The sequence below is a fragment of the Homo sapiens genome, chromosome 3 (genome assembly GCF_000001405.40).
Source record: "Homo sapiens chromosome 3, GRCh38.p14 Primary Assembly".
Lineage (NCBI taxonomy): Eukaryota > Metazoa > Chordata > Mammalia > Primates > Hominidae > Homo > Homo sapiens.
The window spans coordinates 151,398,544-151,418,966 of record NC_000003.12 but is presented as its reverse complement, the minus strand read 5'-3'; the positions used below and the strand labels follow the sequence as shown (position 1 = coordinate 151,418,966).

Genomic DNA, 20,423 nt, shown 5'->3' with positions numbered 1-20,423 from the left:
CCCCAATTACCCTTATTTGATCATTACACATTGAAAGCTTGTATCGAAATCTCACGTATCTGTACATAAATATGTACAAATATTATGTATCCATAATTAAAAGAATTAAAAATTAAAAAAAAATAATTTTTCCACATCCATAGTAAGAATGAATTTAGGCAAGAATAATTTAATAGATGCTAACAGTAGTGTGTGAAGATTTGATGAGTAATGACAGATTTATCAAACTATTCTCATAAATTATTAATTGCAAAGGGAAAATAATAAGTTCACAGTGGGGAGATCTATCAGACACAAGACACACAAAAGGATTAAAGTAATATCACCAACAATGTATATCCTAATGCCATACACTGAAAAGGACACAATGGCACCTCTAATGTTGCCAAAAATGTATAATCTGAATCTAATCATGATTAATCTAGGCAGATAAATCAAATTGAGTAGCATTCTACAAAATAAACATTCCATAGACCTTAAAAATGTCAACTTCATGAAGACAAAAAGGCAGCTTTGGAGTTGGTCTAGATGAAGGCGAGTAAAAAGACATGAAAGCCAAATGCAAAATGTGATGATCCTGAACCAGGGGAAAAAGAAAATCAATGCAATAAAGAGCATTAATTTGTCTATCTGCAAAAGAGTTATAGGTTATAAAGCATTGTAGTAATGTTCAATTTCCTAATTTTAATAATACCCAGTTTTTATAAAAGAATATCTTTGTTTTGGAAAAAAAAAAGTGAAAGTACTTAAGGGTAAAGAGGCACATGTATGTTTAAATGGCAGTAGGTGGGGGGAGTGAAAGAGAGAATAATAAAGCAAATGTGACAAAATGTTAAGAATTAGTAAATCTGGGTAAAGGGCTTATGGAAATTCTTTGTACTATTCTTGCAAATTTTCTGTCATTTGAAATTATTTCAAAACAAAAGGTGTATCTCGTTCTTGTACGGGACACTAGACTCAGCTAACAGTGGTGCATCCAAAGGAATCTCTTCTACAACATTTGCTAAGTAACAGCCAGTTCCTGCTAATACACATTGGATAGGTAGGCAGGCAGTGCAGTTTTACATACTACCTCTACTTTAAGAAGGTTTTCTGAAGTAGATTGCAGTAAATGTCACAAACATATATATATTTTTAAATCAGAGCTGGAAAAACTAGATCCATAATTAAAAAGAATTAACTTAAAAATGGGGAATAGGCCGGGCACAGTGGCTCACGCCTGTAATCCCAGCATTTTGGGAGGCCAAAGTGGGTGGATCACCTGAGGTCATGAGGTCAAGACCACAGTCTGGCCAACATGGTGAAATACAAAATTTAGCTGGGTGTGGTGGCAGGTGCCTGTAATCCCAGCTACTTGGGAGGCTGAGGCAGGAGAATTGCTTGAACCTGGGAGGAGGAGGTTGCAGTGAGCTGAGATCGCACTGCACTCCAGCTTGAGTGATCGAGTGAGATTCCGTCTCAAAAAAAAAAAAAAAAAAAGGCGGGGGGGGAGCTGGGGGAGCGGAACAAACTGGCTTACGCAGAGTTTGTTAAATGTACTATGGATGCCCTATTCCAGTTGACCATGTTCTGGTCAATCTGATTTGGACGCAGTTCTTTAACCACCTAACTCTACTCTGATCCCTCCACATGTACTATCTCTATACCACGTTGTTCCCCCTTTTCTACAAGTTGTGAAACCAGCTAGTTTAAAAATCCTGTGCTGAAGGCAGTCTACACTAGTGTTTCTCAAAGTGTGAGACATGAGCGGTCAGCCAGCTCATCGTAGGTAGGGCTCATTCATGCAATTCACATCACTCAGTTAAATGGAGATTCCCTTCTAAATTATTTTTGTATTTACTTTCACAGATATTTCCAATATGTGGCAAGTGATATAATTATGGATGGTAATGATAAAATGCTTCTTTGAAAACTACATTTATTTAAGCAAATATAATAAGATGACAGTTTAAAAAAAAGTAATTAATGAAACAGGAATATGGCTGTTGTAAATGACTGAGGTTTAGAAAACTTTGATGGCTATGCATATGACATTTCCAAATTTGATTTATGAAGCTAGAGAAGTGAACTATCCGACTGTGAGTTACATGAAAACTCTTGCAGCAAGTGCTAACTGAATGAAAAACAATTTCTTATTGAAGATAATAGATAATATTTTAGAAAGTGCGCCCATGGTTTTTGAGATTATAGTAAAAATCAAAGTATGGTAAGACACTCTTTTAAACATACATAGTAAATCATCGTTTTATCATTGTTTAGGAAAAAAAGACCACGTCTCAATGTAAAAAATTTTGTCTGTGGAACAGTCCGAAAAATTTTGAAGAATAATGGTATAACCTACTGAATCCCAAATATTTACTTGTATCTTCCTATGAAAATAAATATACCAACTACAATGACAATAAAACTCTAGTAAAGTTCTAGGAAAAATTTTTAGGGTATACTTAGGCTTTGTCGATTCTTAACAATCTTATGAACATGAACAATGCAACCTGCTTTTAAAGAAGAAACCCACATGTCTGATTCCAAAACAACAGGCCTTACCAAGGGCTGCTGGGGCTGCATTGCTTGGAGACCAAGGGTCTGACTCTGGGACTGCGAGGACTGCTGGGGCTGGGGAGGCTGCTGGGGCTGGGGCTGCTGGGGCTGCTGCATCTGGAAAGAGGGTAAAAATGTTATACACTTAAAAGGAAGAAGAAAACAGCATTGCTGAATCTGTTTCCCCCATATACCTTTTATCTAATTTTTATGTTGTAGTAAAAACAATATATACCTGCCTGCTGCATCTCTACCTTGCTGAACCTCATTCGTCCTTTTGAGGGCAAGACCTAAACCTGCTCATCCATGAAGCCTTCTAGGACCACCCCAACCCTACGGATCTCTTCCACTGGCAGTCAGTACTGCTGTCTATTCCACACTGCGCTGTCCGGGGCCATCCCTTCTGCTTACTGTTTTAATTCCTTTCATGTCCTTTGTCCTTCCGCATGTTTTATCCCTTCTTACACTACAGGTTGGACGGGGACTGCTCAGTAGTAATCCTCTCATTCTTTATGATATCTGGCAGAATTCTTAAAGGTTTTTTTTTGTTTTTTGTTTTTTTCCAAAAGGAAGAGGCAGACTAGTCGCCATGACACCTTCTGGCATAATTTACATCAGAAATTCAGAAATCATGTCAGTAACAGGGTTGGCTCAAACACACAGCTCTTGGAAAATGCTTCCAAGTCACAGAAAAAGCACAGACCAGACATCCACAAGGTGGGACACAGAGGAGAGAAAAATATTAATAGTTGTTTTGTTTTGTTTCAATGACCTTTAAAATTTCCTCCACCCAAACACTTCATCCTGATAATGATGACAGTCTAGACATTTCTTCATCTTTTGTACTTTTCCAACTTGGTTTGCATACTATCCCCTCAATTACTGGTCTGCTTTACAGCCAACTAATAAATAGCTATTGCCATATGGCATGTCTCACTAAGTGACAATGCTCATGGATCTGGAATCCTAGCAGAGGTCTGGGTAGCATGATCCCAACAAGAACAACGCAAGTTGGACCCAAATCACAATGACTGCAATATGATTCTCCAGTTAGCCCTCTAGAACCTCTTCTAAGAAAAATTAACCCAACTTCATCATTATTAACTTTTTCCTTTACAGAGGTGGCCAGTCACCAAAAAAGAAGTATAATCCTGTTGTAGAAGCAAATCACTTATCTCCAGGGAAGAATGTGTTGATGATGAAAAAATTACCAGAAGGACATATTATGCTAATTAGGATAAAAAGTACATATGGTCTAATAAGAAAAGGCTTTCCGTATTTGCAGCCTTGAAAAACACCAACATAAGATTTAAAACTGGTAAGTAAACAAATAATGTGGTAACTTTCCTCAGTGATTTGGAAATGAGAAATTCTAAACTAGAGCAAAATATAAATTATCAATCCTAAAAAATTCTGAAACATAGCCTCAGAACTTGGAAAAAATGATTTAAGAAAGTGAGTACTCATAGTAATGATAATAGTCATAACATTAATCGTAAAATTATCAAATGAGTGGTTTACTTGAATATTCTTATTTAATCCTTTCTACATATTTAAGAGATAGGTACTATAAGTATTTCCATGACAAAACAGGATTAGAGAGCTTTTACCATTGGAAACAACATCTATACAATGACTGAGATTGCTATCTGAAGGCCATACTCTCCTAATCGGTTACCACATGTTATCAATTTTGTGATACAACTTTTTTTTTTTTTAACATTTTTAACAGGTCACAAATTGGGATGGAACTAATGACATCTTACTACTAATGGCATCTTATAATTGGGAAGCCCAGTTCCAGAGGGTGTGTTGGCTTTTGCCTGTCACCTGGGCACTACCAACCAGAATTTTGTGGATCACACTGAATTCAGACTCAAACCCACCGGAGCTTGTGGTTCAAATGCTCAGGGGAGATATTTGTTTCTCCCCTCTATCCAGTGTCAAGGATAAGACATCCAAGCTCCTTTGTGTCCCTTTCTGCATGGCAGGTTTACTTCTCACTGACCTCATACCGAGTTGAGAGTACAGCCCTTGGGCACTCCAGCTCTACTAGATTCCTCATTTTTGGTGTTCTGTTCTTGGTAGTATATAAAGTAAGTGTGTATCTCAAGTTGGACTGCTGATAAGATTAGAGCCCACTGTACAGTCTCCTTAGGAAATCTCCAGTCCAATAACATAGGACAAGCTTGTTAATATTGAAGACAAATGACACAGGTAAACATAATGGCCTATATTTTTTAAATAAGCAAGTCAGAAACAAGAACATATCAAGGAAGCTGCGTGTGGTGGCTCACACCTGTAATCCCAGCACTTTGGGAGGCCGAGGTGGGCGGATCACTTGAGGTCAGGAGTTTGAGACCAGCCTGGCCAACATGGCAAAAACCCGTCTCTACTAAAAATACAAAAAAATTAGCCAGGGGTGGTGGTGGGCGCCTGTAATCCCTGCTACTCAGGAGGCTGAGGCAGGAGAATCACTTGAACCCGGGAGGTGGAGGTTGTCCAGCCTGGGTGACAGAGGGAGACTCCGTCTTAAGGGGAAAAAAAAAAAAAAATGTATCAAGGGGAAGAACCCTTTATCTAACTGACTTAAAATGTACATCAAATAAGTGAATGACAGTTCTCTGGATTCTAACAAAGACAAGATGAAATATCCTTTGAAACAGTCTATGTTCCTCCCATTTCACAGCCTTATCAGACCAGAGGTGTTATAGAAATGTTTTTAGATTGCAGAATGCTCTAGGAATCTGATGAAAGCTCTGGATGGCTCAGTTTTTTGTTTTCACATTTATGACACTTTTAAAAAATTTGCATGGCTCCTACTTAAACAGAGACTGGGTAAGCTGAGGCCAACTCTATTAAAGGCATCCGTCTGCCCTCCCAAACCTTTGTGAAATGGGAAGAATGTTCTGCAAAACGTACTCTTCTGCCCATAACCTGGTAGATACACAGAGAAAATAAAATTCTTGCCAAGTTGTAACTAAATTGTACCAATGTAGCTCCTAGCATCAAATCCACAGGGATCCTTGGAATCTGGCAATTGACAACTATAGTGTTTTTCATTTTTTATGACTGTTGCATATTTGCACTGTCTGAAGGGTGATGGCATTGCCCTCATCTCCCTGCCCCGTACCTGGAGGAGTCTCTGCTGCTGTCGAACTTGCGGCTGTCTGGGTCTCATGGGATCCTGAGGCAGGGGCACGGAGGGAAGGTTTGGATGTGCAGAAGTCAGCACAGCATCAATTCCCCCGCCCACCAGAGGGCTCTGCTGTAGAGCCTGATGGTTCAGTCTGGCAAAGAATAATGCAACTTGGTTCAGGCCCAAGCATAATGTCAAACTTTTAATCAGTGCTACCAGCACATGACATACACCAACCAAGAAACAATCAGTGCTCAATAATCCTTTGCACAATTCAAATAGACTAAAGCCCAGTGGTTAAAATAATAGATGTGACCACTTGAAAAAGTACAGCAAGCACATGACTTAAGGTAAAATTGCAGTCATGCAATAAATCACTTTTTAAACATTTAATAGTTTTTAACAACGAGGAATATTAATTGAGCATTTACTTTGAAGCAGGCACTGTACTAAAGGTCTGAAATGTGTTACTTCATTTACTCCCCACCAGAGAGCCCTTTAAGGTCAGCAGTTTCGTTATCCCTACTTTAAAAATGAAAAAACAGAGCTAGAGGTAACTTATTAAGAAAGCAAATGGCACAGGTGGGATTTGAACCCAGAACTTTTGGGCTTTGAAATTCAAGTTTGTGGGCCATGCTATGCTGCTATTTATTATAAAAATTGTACATACAATGCACATTTTCCAAATTATTATCCAAAATATCTATTTTCTCAAATGTGTTACCATCAACCTTGCTAACTTTCCAAAGAGCGATTACTTGGAGTCGTCATGCAGCCATTGATGGTAACAGATGGGAGCTGTGCTGCTATCCACTAGATGGACACGTTTTACATGATGCTGCTAAGACAGTACTATCCAACAGAACTTTCTATGATGGCTGCAATGTTTTCTCTCTGCGCTGTCCAATAAGATAACTACTAGCCACAAGAACGAACTGCATAATTTTGGGGTCTCAGTGAATAACGAAAACACAAGGCTCCCTGATCAAAACTTAGTAAGAATTTCCACAGAGAAACTGCAGAGCATTAAACTAAGCATGAAGCCTTTTTAAACACAGGCCCTTCTAAACACAGTGCACGTCACACACCATTGAAGCTAGTCCTGCTGGCCACATTTGGCTACCACTGAACACTTGAAATGTGACTAGTGTGACTGAGGAACTATATTATTAATTTAATTTTAAATAGTCTAAATTTAAACAGCCACAGGTGGCTGGCAGCTACTACAACAGACAGTACAGTTATACACTCTAAGGGATCTAATTAAACAAGAACAGAAAAAAGTCTATCATAATCCTGTTTTGCCAAATATCTTTGAGGTGGAAAAGGTAGAAACTAAGTTATAACAAAACTCTCATGTGCACCATGCACAATTAGTATTGCAATCACACATTTTATTGCTCCAATCAACAAATTGTAGTAAGGCATTCCTAACAATAATCAAGAGTTTTCTCTGTTAGATATGTTCAGAGAATTTTTAAAAAAGAAGAGGAAAAAAAAGAACACTGAAGCAAACACACTATCACGTAAAGACTGTTACACTCATGTCTTGGAAGACATGAGTCAAAACTGTAAGGATCTTTAATGAAATAAACAAGATGGAGCATTCTTTATGTTGAACCTCTATCTGGATACTACTAAAAACGAGATGACAGAATGCAAATTATCTGCAAATATGCAAGCTCATAAAAACAATGATAAAGTACCATGCCCTATAAGAAGCATAAGAAACCCGAGAATGTGACTGTTCATTATTGCCATCATCATTTCCACATGTATCACCTCTGAGAGCCAGTCAGGGGCTGCAGGTACGGCGAGGCCTGCTGCTGAACATAGCCACTCGGCTGCTGCTGAATCTGTCTGAGTCTTTCCATTAGCACGGGGTTGGAATGTGCGGCCGGATAGGCTCTGGAGTTATAGCTGGGAGACAGGACCACACTGCCAGCCTGCTGCTGCGATGTCTGCTGCAAAGGCATCTGTGTCCCATACATTGTATAGCCCTGTGGCATGGTCTGCAGGTAGGCACAAGGGAAGAAGTCAATGTTTCAACTTATCACCTAGCTTTCCCATCACTACGATATATGGGGCAAAAACAAACCCATGAGGACTCCCCTGAAATTCACTGTTTTCAAAGGTTCTCATAACTCAAAATTTGAGGAGGACTACCCTGGATGCAGGGAATATGGTCAGAAAAGCCACAGAATGATCTGGCTGTGTAATGACTCACCAGAAATGTCAACTTAAAAAAAATGAATCCTCATTTAGTTAAACTGGCTTTTAAGATTAGCTGCTTATTTTTAGAGAAGGGCATGTTTCTATATAGAAACAATCAGGCAAGCATCTAAATCTTCAGTGCACAGATGACACCAAAGTTCAACAGATGAAGTATTATTAATATCATTTCCAAAATTAGAAAAGCTACCCATGCTCAAATGTAAATTAAAATAATGAAATACACTTTTCCAGTATGTGACTACACCTCTTCAGGTCTGATAAATGTGTGTGTAGTAACTAACCAGTTCCAAAACAATAACAAAAAACTATTAATACCTTAGCCAGGAATGGTGCAATTGGTAACTGTTCATTATCCTCTAGTACGGGCTGGACCTAGTTTGGCACTCTACTAATAATGTGAACACTTAATTTACCTAATGAATATTAATATACAAGTACCTAGTTCTTTGTGTATTGTCACCTTATGGAAAAGAGAAACCTGAAGTTCTGTTGGATCACTAGGTACAATTTATAGAACACAATGCTAATTAAGGTAGAACAACATTGCTCTTCAAATCCTCAAAGCACATTTTCAGGTAGTTTAATGCCTCTGACTTGGAAGACAGAGAAATGGATAATGAACTTCTAGCAGGCAGCATGAATGGATCCAGGCTGAAGGACGCAGTGCCTGTGTAGGCCAATGTGGGCTTTTCTTTCAGCTGTGGACATAGATTGAATTGTCAATCCAACTAGCAATCTTGCCAACACCCCTGCATTCCTGATTCCCAGAGGGATGGGGTGAGAGTATACGAATACAGAAATAGCAAAATTATTAGTAAAAGTAGCTCAAGATTTGCATTATATTGTGTATCAGGCACTATGTTAGTTCCATAGGTTAGTTCCACTGGTTGTTCCATAGGTTGTCCTCATACACTTCATCTCTATTTTACAGAGAAGGAAACCGAAGCTCAGAGTAAGTAACTCACACAATGTCACACAGCTAGTAAGTTGCTAGGAACTGTGCCAAAGTCTGATTTCAAGCCCCGTTATTTTCTTATTCTACCATGATTCCTCATTGATGCTATCTTTGAATATGACAATTTCTATTTATTTATTTATTTTGAGACAGGGTCTTGCTCTGTTGCCCAAGGCAACAGATCACAGCTCACTGCAACCTCAACCTCTCAAGCTCAAGCGATCCTCCACTTTAGCCTCCCGTGCAACTGGGACTATAGGTGCATGCCACCACGCCTGGCTAATTTTTTAATTTTTATTTTCTTTTGTAGAGACTGAGTCTCACTATGTTACCCAGGCTGGTCTCAAATTCTGGGGGTGAAGCAATCCTCTCACCTTGGCCTCTCAAAGTGCAGATTACAGGCATGAGCCACTGAGTCCAGCCCAAATATGATGACTTCAAAACTGAATTACATCATTATACATTATAACATAAAAGAAGTAACTCTGGGATTGTTAAGTATTTCAATATCTATAATCATCACTAATAAAAGGTTTGAATTTACACTTTTAAAGGGTTTTCTAGAATGTTTTATGCTCCTTAATCAATCCTAAGACTTCAACAATCCTGATCATGCTTTTTTGAAATATCAATTATAATCTATAAGTAGAAGAAGTAATCAAGTTCTAGACCCTATAGGGAGTTGATATATTCTATTTACTTAATTTCCCACCTCCAATAAAGAGCTTTGAAAATCCTGTCAGTACCTACAAAGCAAATGTGGGTACCTGTGCTTGCTGCAGCCCTGGATACTGAGGGAGCTGAGGGGAGGGCCGTGCTTGCGCAGCAAAGAGAGCAGCCTGGTCCCCCGGCTGGCCCTGGAAAACAAAGCCAAAGCAAACTCTTGATCATAACAGCAAGGGCTTGATTTGAGCTTCTGGTTAATAATCCAAATAACCCACATCTAATCTCATTACATGGATAAAGAACTCAAAGATTTTCAAAATGTATTAAATATTATTTCTCATCAATATCCTATGTGTTTAGACTGTTGAACTTATTCCTTCCAAAGAAGACTACAGATTTTCCCAATGATAACAAAGCCATAAATACAAGCCTAAGTTATCAATGGTCTGCTCAGCAGAGAGGCTGTCAGCTGGCTTCCAATACATGCCAGGGTATAAATGTCCCACTAAGTGTGAAATCTGGAACCACAGGGCTGCACTACCCAGTGCCTATAAAGGGAAGAGAACGTGTGGTACAGACACACGGTGGCATATAAAATTTTTATGACTTTTTAATGAAGCTTCTTCACAGTGACCTACTAATTGCCTATTTAGCCAGATATTCAAGGAATACATTTAGTACTTTCTATGACTCTAAAAATCAATGAGAATATAGTCGATAAATTTTGTAAGTTAATGGCAAACATAATTCCAACCAACTACAATGCAAAATAAAACCAATTAACATCTGTTCACCAATCTTAATCTAATACATGTTTTGGCCATAAGAAAACAAATATATTCACAAGAGCAATGGTATGTGTGTTTTATGTTTTGGTGGCAGAAGTTACTTCATGGAAGCTTGCAGTAATAATCATAAAAATAATCCTAGTTTCCTACCACTCTGTTTTTTTTTCAGGACTTACTGATTGTAAAGAATGAGATTTATTGTAGGATTATTTTACTACTGTCTTTAACAGAGATTCTCATTTTAAAAAGTGCTAAATTATAGTTACATAAAGCTATTTTAATGTGTTTGAAAAGTAGTGTAGGTATTTCTAGCAGGGAGAAAGGGATAAATATGTAGCTTAAGAGGAAGGATATCAACGATTATTAAGAATCGATCATATTTCAGAGGCTGGGCTTCTGGTTCTTACTCTCATTTTCTCACAAGAACCCTATAGGAAAGGAGCATCATTCTCATCTTCTTCAGACAGGAAAAGCCAGGCTCAAAGAGCTTAAGCAACTTAGCAAACTTGCCCAGCAAGACCTGGCAGTGCCATGATCTAAACTCCAGGAAGTCTGACTTGAAAGCCTAGGGCTCTTTCCATTATCATGAGATGCCTCCATGTGTGACATTAAGGATGAAAATACTTATTTGGTGCTTATTATTTAAGGACATATAGCCTCTTAAAATCATCCTAATGAAAAACCAAAAGGACAATCTCTATTAAGCCTTATTAATGAGATACCAAAACCAAATGCATACCTAAGACAGTTAAGCCCTTTCTCTGATCCCCACAAAAAAAATCACGTGGCCATTTACGAAACTTCAGCATCTCTCTAGGTGACTATCTATCTACACATGAATGAAACATAAATTTTTGAGTGTACCTCTGAGGGTATTTATACATACAAGAATCTTACTTTCAGAGTAGGCTATCATGAAGATACTCTTAGTCTCTAACTCATTAATCTGTTAAAAAAACAATTGTATCTCCATTTGCTTGGGTTAGAGAAATATAGCCCAAACTTCCTCTGTGAGAACACATACCATGACAGTATGACCATCAGGAGCCTAAAACTGTTCTTCCCAAAGAATCCAAATGGCTCTTGATCCTCCAAACACTATGCCAAGGAATAATTAAATCAACCAGATCCTTAAAGACCACTCCTGGACACTAGCATCATACAAGGTCCCTGAGACATACTGTTGTGCTTCTTTGTAGAGACAAATATATGTATATTACCATTTTTACAAAACAGAAAAATCAACTATTTATATATGAGTTAGAATCTAGGGATCTATAGGTAGTTTATAACACTCGTGCCCTCTTTTGGCTTTGTGGGAAGCAGAATGCGATCTGCATGTGACAGCTGCATTCAGATGCATAAAGCAGATGTTTTCTAACTCTTCGCTCTTCTTTTGCTTTTATTGAAGAACTTTATGAAACACATTATGACTTACATGGTGGGGGGAGCTAGAATACTAATAAGGTATATATCTGAGCTATTGGGCAATATTCTTATTTACATATATTAGTTGAGATCATGGGAATTTAAGAAATAGGAACTGGGCAGGTGCGGTGGCTCACGCCTCTAATCTCAGCATTTTGGGAGGCCGAGGCGGGTGAATCACCTGAGCCCAGCAGTTCGAGACCAGCCTGGGCAACATGGTGAAATCTGATCTCTACAAAAAATACAAAAAATTAGCTGGATGTGCTGACACGTGCCTGTAGTCTCAGCTACTTGGAAGGTTGAGGTGAGAGGATTCCTTGGCCTGGGAGGCAGAGGTTGCAGTGAGCCAAGATCGTGCCACTGCACTCCAGCCTGGGCACCAGAATGAGACCCTATCTCAAAAAAAAAAAAAAAAGAAGAAGAAGAAATGGAAACTGAAAACTATTATTCTACATTTTTAAAAATCACAAAACATTCAGAAAATTGTGCCATACTTTTAAAAGGAAAAAGAAATACAAATGGAAATATAGTTTTTGTATATAGTTTTATACCATGTTCAGGTACACACCCTAACATTTTCCACCTTTATGTCTAAAGGTGAACTATTTATATGTGAGCATATTATGTTTCCTCCTGACCACCAGTTTGTCCCAACATACTACTTAAGTATGGAAAATAATTCAGATATGCAATATTCTCCCTGAGAAAATCACAAACATCCCTATTTGACTAGCACTTCCCAATTTTGCCAGGCATAGCTGTTATCATCATGTGCTCCTAAAAAGAAAACACCCTAATCTCTCCTATCAGAATGAAATGGATTCCTACTTTTCTTTGTTTTTCCAAGAATAATGTCAGGAACACATTATTTCAATTTGTAGAAACAGTTCAATTAGTTGAGAACAGAATGAATAAGTTCTTTAATAACTTGAAATATTTTACAAATGTTAAATAAGAACCACAATGTGGGAATAATAAAGGAAACTAGAGACTGAGAATTAGTAAAAAAACTTTTAAATGTTGGTAGGCATGGGTTTGGCCACATTAAACCAAGAACAGACTATCTAACATGTCATCCAAACTAGGACAAGACAGGGCAAGAGGGCAAAGTGAGACCATGCCTGGCAAATCAGGACATCTGGTCACCTTAGTTATCTGTTAATTTCTGAAAAATTTTTAAGCTTTATTTTTAATTAGTGCCTAGCACATATAGTAAGTGCTCAGTAAATATCTGTTCAGAATAACTAAGATTTAATTTAGTTTATCTGTTAACCAAGAAATCCAGAGGCAAATTAGGATTTATGTTTGAGCATCAATTACTTTACCAAGTGCTTTCTAATTGCTTCACAGTTGTCAGCTCCATCTTTTGAAAACTCAAATTTAATTTAATGTTTAGCATCTATCATTCTAATGATTTCTTCTTCCTGCCAGCATTAGTATCTGAAGAGTAACTTAATTTCTCCCTATTTATTCTGCTCAACCAAAACAACTGAGGCCACTTTAACTTCATATTTTTTAATGCATGGAGAGAACTATATGGGAACATGATTTGTTTGTTTTTGTTTATGTGAAACACAAAGTGAGACAGCATCTCACTTTGTTGCCAAGGCTGTAGTGCAGTGGCAAGATCATACTTCACTGCGGCCTCAAATTCCTGGACTCAAGAGATCCTCCAACCTTGGCCTCCTAAAGTGTTGGGATTATAGGTATGAGCCACTGCATCCAGCCTGCAGGAAGATGGTTTTTGGTGGCATATTTGTGTCTAGGCAGGTGCTATGTGATTTTAAGCATATCAGTAAGAGAGAATAAGATATTTGTTCCCTGCTCAAGCTTCCATGGCTCAGATACCTGACTTGTATGTGCAAAGGGAATGATCTACAGAGAACTGGGACAGTCTAATAATTGTATAAGCCCATCTCTACATTGCTACCTGAGGTAAATTCCTACACATGGTCTCTTTACTTCATTTTCATGCACTCTGCTTTGGGCTTACCTCTATAAACAAAATATAACATTAAATAAATATGTACTTTCTAAAATTTCCATTTTTAAAAAACTTCTAAAGAAGCTGTGCTGTTCAATACTGACCTATCTTCCTAACCTTTATAAGAAGAGTTCTCTCTCTTACTGCTGTATTTTTTAATTAGACAGAAGTATGTGAGCTCAAAGAGATGTTGACTCAAAGGCTTTTGGCATAATTTGAAATGAATGCATCCGATAAGTTTTAAATTTTTAATGATCCTCGAACATAATTTTCATTCTTCTGTGTCTTAATCTGATCTGTATTAGCAACTACACCCTCAATCAAATGAGAAAATGTGAAGATCTCCTTTTCATGTAGGACTGGTTATACCTCCAATTAGCAATCAGTAAGGATTATAATCAGAGCATTTTAGAATCAGGAGTTTCCTATCCACTCAATTTACTAGTAATGATTCAAATCCTTATTTAGTAATTTTTCAGTAGTGTTTAAGGGTTACAAGTAGAGAGACAAGTTATATCTATAAAAACCACAGCCAGATTTTGTGACTTGGTTTCTGGAAATACTGATTTGGAAAAAAGTAATAAAAGGCACATAACAAAAACCAGTGGGTAATGTTTTACAAGTCACCTAGCAGAAAGGGTTTTATTTATAACTCCTAGTTTGGAAGTTACTGAGTGCTTTAGGCTAAAACACCACATGGTATGAACCAGAAGTTGTGGTCATTACATCATACTGGTTTATTTCAACTGCAGACAACAGAGAGAGGAAATTCTAAATTATAAGAGGTCTTGTTGGCTAGTTATGCTTGATACTTTTAAAAGTTTTCACCTCAAATACGACTTGGTTGGGAATCAATGAACAGTAACTAACTGCTAGAATAGTCTGATTCATTCTAAAACAAACACATCCCATACAGTAATGAACCTTTATGATTTTAGCATGTCCATATATTATAAGAACTGATTGAGTATAGATTCATTAACTTCCTAAGAAAGCAGAATATTATAGAAAAATAAGAGTGGTAAAATGGATAGCAAAAATACACATTTTCATTACTTTGAATTAATATAGAAATCACGGAACCTTCTTTTGACTTTAAATACTTATACATAAAATAGCTGTCAATAAAAACATTTTTTAAAAAGCCAGTGATTGATGCAAATTGTTTTCTATCTGAATTACATTATCACCTGAATAATAAACAATGCCCTATAGCAAACATAAGCTGTCTCCAAAACATTTTTGAACTTCATAGTTTAACTCAAGTTTTTCAATAAAATCCTCACCTGCCCCCTGAATACCATAAACTGTCAAGAAAAACTGAGTCTTTTCAGAAAAGTTTCCAAGCTTTCCTTTGCTGAAATAACTATTGGAGAAAATGCTTATACAACAAGTATTAAATAACCTAAATATTTTCAAAGTTTGAATATGCAGTTAAGGATATCTTTATCAATGTATAGATAATGTTACCCATTAAAATGGCAGTGAAACAAGTTAACTTACAGTCACATCTGAGATGTGTGCTCTTTTTTATTCTAATGCTTCTTGGGTTTATGTTGTGGGTTGGCTACCTGATACAGAAACCTATAAGTAATTTAATGCAAAACATGCATTCTTAGCTAGCCCAGGCAAAGCAGTAGAGATGAAGTCTTATGACATGCATGCACAAGACCTATGCTCAAAAAAAAATCTTCTCCATACTGGAAAGAAAATAGAGATGATGTGTTCCGTTGAGATTTTGGGAATAGCCAGTGAGTGGGATGTGATGAGAGGGTAAGTTTCATAACCACAGTTTTCATTATCTTGCATTGGCCTATGAATCAGCATGCCATGCATTCCTCTACTAATGATATAAATTACCACAGAGAGAAGCAAGAGCTCAGGAATAGACAGGTTCAAAACTGGGACTGAGATGAAGGTGCACGAACTGGTCTATGTTCCCAAGCCCAGGCCATGAATGTCTATTGGTTTCTATACCATAGATGTATATGATGGAAATCATGAGGCGATCAAAGGGGTGCATTTTCAGAAAAAAACTTCCATTAAATTAAACATGGTCAATGCATTCATGATTCTGTGTTACAGTCTCAAACATAAACCGAGTTAACAGTGAAATGAAGACTATAATTATTACCAGCTACAGAAAAACCTGCTTCTCATTTTGACGTTCAAAGGGCAATGCTATAAAAATTTATTAAAAAAAAAAAGAAAAAAGAAAAGAAAGAAAAAGGAAGGAATGACAGCAGGGGTGTTACCATTATGTTGTCAAAGTCTTCCAGAAGGGAGACAGCAGAGTTACAGAAGTCCTACAGAAAGGGGACAGCAAGAAAATGGCAGACAATACAGATAAGATTTTTTAGCCTAATGACGTGGGTAGCCAAAATACATATGAACTATTTCATTTAAAACAATGTTGCAGGAAGTCAAGACTTAAAAACATAGGCCCTATAAGGGTTTTATTAATTCATATGTCAAACATCCTCACTACAGACTGCAACACTGATAAACAATATGGTGATATTCATATACTAGAATAGCACAACATGGAGGTTAAATGGTGACATAAAGGAAGTAGAGGAGATATCAGACACCAAAACGTGCTGCAACTAAGGGGCTTTGGAACCCCCATGTGACCAACAAGGGGCTAGGGTCCTTCCCGCCCTAGGGCCAGTGGGGGAGCTCAGGACATGTGGGTCACATTAAGCAGACAAGACATTAAGTAAACAAGTCAGCAGGCCATATGTTCTTGAAGGATGTAATTAGCCCCATCCCCAGTAAATCCAAGTAAGAAGAGATCATCAGATTAACCACACATTCAACCAATCACAGTAGACAGCAAATATTTATAGTGCGACCACTGTTTGCACACTAAAAGGTAATCTGATTTAGGAAAAGTCAACTGAATACCTGGGGAAAATTGCTATTTCTCAACTAAATGAGTCCCTTTCTAAATCATTTATATATTCAAATGCCAAAGGATATATTACTGAGATGTTAAAAATTTCCCTGAGCTCACTGAGTTCTGGAGATAGAGATGAAGCAAAGGATTTCACCAATAATAGAAAAAGCATTTTACTATACTGAGGATTGGAAAGTATAGGAGGAATTTCCCAGGCAAATAATACCTATTCTCACCATTTTACATATAGGTACATAATTGATTGCATTTGTACATTGGTCTTTAGATCCAGCTGCCATGCTTGTATTGGTGATTCATTTCCTCACCCCTCCATCCAATCTTCTGCCCTCTCTCATAAAAATCAAGCTGCAAACACTATCTCCGAGCTCATTATATCTGCCTAATCATAATTTTAGCAAATAAAATCAGCACCTTCCTCATCATTCAAATAAACAGAGAAATACCAGATATAAGTAATAAGTGAAGCACCCACCTCCCTGAACATGCTTTCTACCCAAAAACCAAAATGATAGAGTTTAGGACATATTTACCAGGACAGTGGTTTTCTTCTCCTAAGTTCATTTTTGTCATTGAAATGTATATTAATTACACCCTCTGAATAAACACATTAGTTATCAATACTCAAAATATGTTTCAACAAGACTATTTTGCCTACCTTTAACAAATGAGACTATCATTTGAAATATGCTCTATTTATATGATCAGGAAATTTACAAAAGGGAAAACCTGAATAGCTAGCAAAGTTATAAAAAATGGTTAAACTCACAGGTAATCAGGACAATGCAAATTAAGATGTCATAATATAATACCATTTCACCTGCTCTGATTGAGAAAAATAAGGTCTGATAACACCAAGCATTGGTGGGAATATGGAGAAAGAAAAATGCTCATATACTATTCTAAGAGGAATCACCACCACTTTCAAAATCAATCAGCATTTCCATGTTCAGGTACACACCCTAAAACTTTCCACATGTATAGAAGAAATGTAAAAGAATGTTTACTGTAACAGTTAACAGTTAAAAAAAAAAACAAACAAAAAAACTGAATAAATTAAATGACCATCAACAGAATGAATAAATAACATATTAATATTCGTAATGAAATAACATCCAACAGGATAAATGAATGAATATAACTACATAAAGTAGAAATAATTAAATTAGCTACAAAAAAGCCGCAAAATAATACAACACGTGTGAGAACATTTACGTAACATTTCAAATCTACAAAGTAATACTGTACAATGTTTATGTTGATGGATGCAAACGTATAGATTAGAAGTATAAAAACATGCATAAGAAAGTAAAATGCTAAATCATGATGGGGATTCCCACTTTAGAAGAAGGGAGGGAAATGATGATACAAGGAGACTCATCCACATCTGTAATTTTTTTTAAAAAAATAATCTACAGCATTATGGAAGAATATTATTTAATAAAGCTAGTAAGTGCATTAGTGATTATTACATTTTTTCTATTCTCGTCTCTATGCTTGAAATATGTATACCATTAAAGAGTGAGTGGGAGGGATAGAGAAAATAAACATATTCCAAGGTGATACCATTTCCTTAGGGTGGGAGATCAATTACCGAACAAAGGGTAATTACTCAATTTAAATGGTAATCCAAGAGCATGTTCCCATGAAGTCACAGATTCATTTTTGCCAAGGAGCTAACAGCTCTGGGAGGTTCTGACTCAGTCATCCTTCATTCTTTAAATTACCTATTTCCTTGATTTGGATACACAAATGATGGGACCTGCTCCACGGTGGATAACCTAACCTCTTTACAAGTCGCTACATGTACTGGTCGCTACATATACTAGCTATAACTGGGCACACATTCCTGTCCTCTGAAAGGAAGCTTCCTCTTTTCTGTCCTGAAAAATCCTTATGATTAATGATCTGTATGGAGCCTATAACCAAGTGCATTTTTTAACCAATTTGTCTGAATCAATTCAAGCTAAACATATCTTCTGTCTATCCTTCTTTGGACTCTTGAAAATATGCTGTCTGGAATTATTACAAAGAAAAATAAAATAATTTAATATACTGAAAGAAAAAATCAGGATAAAGCAACACCATAAATCAAGGCATAAAGTTCTTTTCCTGGGTCAAAACTTTAGATTGCTTCTGCAAGCCCCTTCCCTAGATGTCGATATTGTGAGGGGTATGAAAGTTCCTTAAGGCCTGGCGCGGTGGCTCGCGCCTATAATCCCAGCACTATAGGAGGTCGAGACAGGTGGATCACCTGAGGTCAGGAGTTCGAGACCAGCCTGGCCAACATGGTAAAACACTGTCTCTATTACAAATACAAAAATCAGCCAGGCGGGGTGGTGCATGCCTGTAGTCCCAGCTACTCGGGAGGCTGAGGCAGGAGAATCGCTTGAACCCGGGAAGCAGAGGTTGCAATGAGCGGAGATTAGGCCGCTGCACTCCAGCCTGGGCGACAGAGGGAGACCCTGTCTCAAGAAAAAAAAAAAGAAAGAAGGAATTCCTTAAGATTCCTTCTGCAAGCTCCTTCCCTAGATGATCGATAGAGTGAGGGGGATGGTGAGGTGAGCTGAAAAAAAGTTCCTGTTGTCAAAAGAAAAATACCGAGTATAAGAAAGGAATGAGTGGAAAATAATTAAAGCAGCATTTTGCATTATAACCAATATTCTATATTCTGTGATAGTTCTAACAGAATATGTGAAAAATAAAATACAGTGATACTTTTAACACTGAGATTGGAATAAGTCTCTCAAGTATCACAGTATTTAAAGAACAAAAACACACCACTCTAAGAAGCTAAAATGACAATTAGGATGACAAAACAACATTCCTTTTTATGAGTTTGTTCTATTGGTAACCACTAAGCAAATGAGGATTAAACCAATCCTATTAATGGCAATTTATGTAATTATACAAGTAAACCATTTGATATGCTTTTATTTTAAAGCTTAACATATTTAAGAAAATAATATTGTTATGGGAAATGAATTTCTTTTGAAATAACAAACCATAAAAATACTAATAAGCAGCAACGATAAGTATGACAGCTAACACTTTTTGAGCACTTACTATGAGCCATCCACTGTTCTAAGGGCTGTTTTACACATACTTAATCATTAACTTCACAACTACCCTATAAAGTAAGTACAGTATAGTATTAGCTCCAGTTTATAGATGGGACTCTGAGGCACAGAAAGATAGTGTAACCATTGTACTGAGTCCCATCTAAATACAGGATATTGAGTAAGAAATAGAAATAGTTCTTTTTTTTCAGTAGTCGCCACTTCTCTGCGGTTTCACTTCCCACAGTTTCAGTTACCTGCAGAAAACTGCAGTCCGAAAACAGGTGAGTACAGCACAGTAAGGGATTTTGAAAAAGACGACATTTACATGTTTGTTACAGTATAATTGTTCTATTTTACTATTAGTAAGATATTGTTAGTATCTTACTGAGCCTAATTTATAAATTAAACTTTATCATATAGGTACCTATACATAGGAAAAAACATGGTCCATATCAGGTTTGGTCCTCTGTGGTTTCAGCAATCACTGAAGGTCTTACAACATATTCCCTGTGGATAAGCAGGGTGATAGGACTACTGTATTTTCCTAGATGAAGACTGCAACCAAGAAGAATGAAAACAGGTTTCTTGCCAAAACATCTTTCTGCATGTCCATATGCACTAAAGCTATAGGGAAATATACTCAATTATAACAATTATTACATCAAATAATCTCATTAAAATACTTAACAATATCCATGCTATTCAGCACTT

General features: G+C 37.0%; 1 protein-coding gene across 21 annotated transcripts in view; it reads right to left on the bottom strand.

The window, feature by feature from the left end:
• MED12L (mediator complex subunit 12L) overlaps positions 1-20,423 on the bottom strand; it is a 350,990-nt gene that overhangs the window by 17,687 nt on the left and 312,880 nt on the right. For 8 of the 21 annotated variants that reach the window (XM_017005676.2, XM_017005677.2, XM_017005680.2 and 5 more), the window contains 5 exons: positions 15,989-16,039; positions 9,635-9,724; positions 7,460-7,689; positions 5,672-5,828; positions 2,545-2,655 (listed from right to left, as the gene is read on the bottom strand). In XM_017005676.2, coding sequence (XP_016861165.1) covers positions 2,545-2,655; positions 5,672-5,828; positions 7,460-7,689; positions 9,635-9,724; positions 15,989-16,039 — 639 coding nt within the window. The remainder of the gene's footprint in view (positions 1-2,544; positions 2,656-5,671; positions 5,829-7,459; positions 7,690-9,634; positions 9,725-15,988; positions 16,040-20,423) is intronic. The other 13 variants (NM_001393769.1, XM_047447405.1, NM_053002.6 and 10 more) reach the window with 2 other exon arrangements.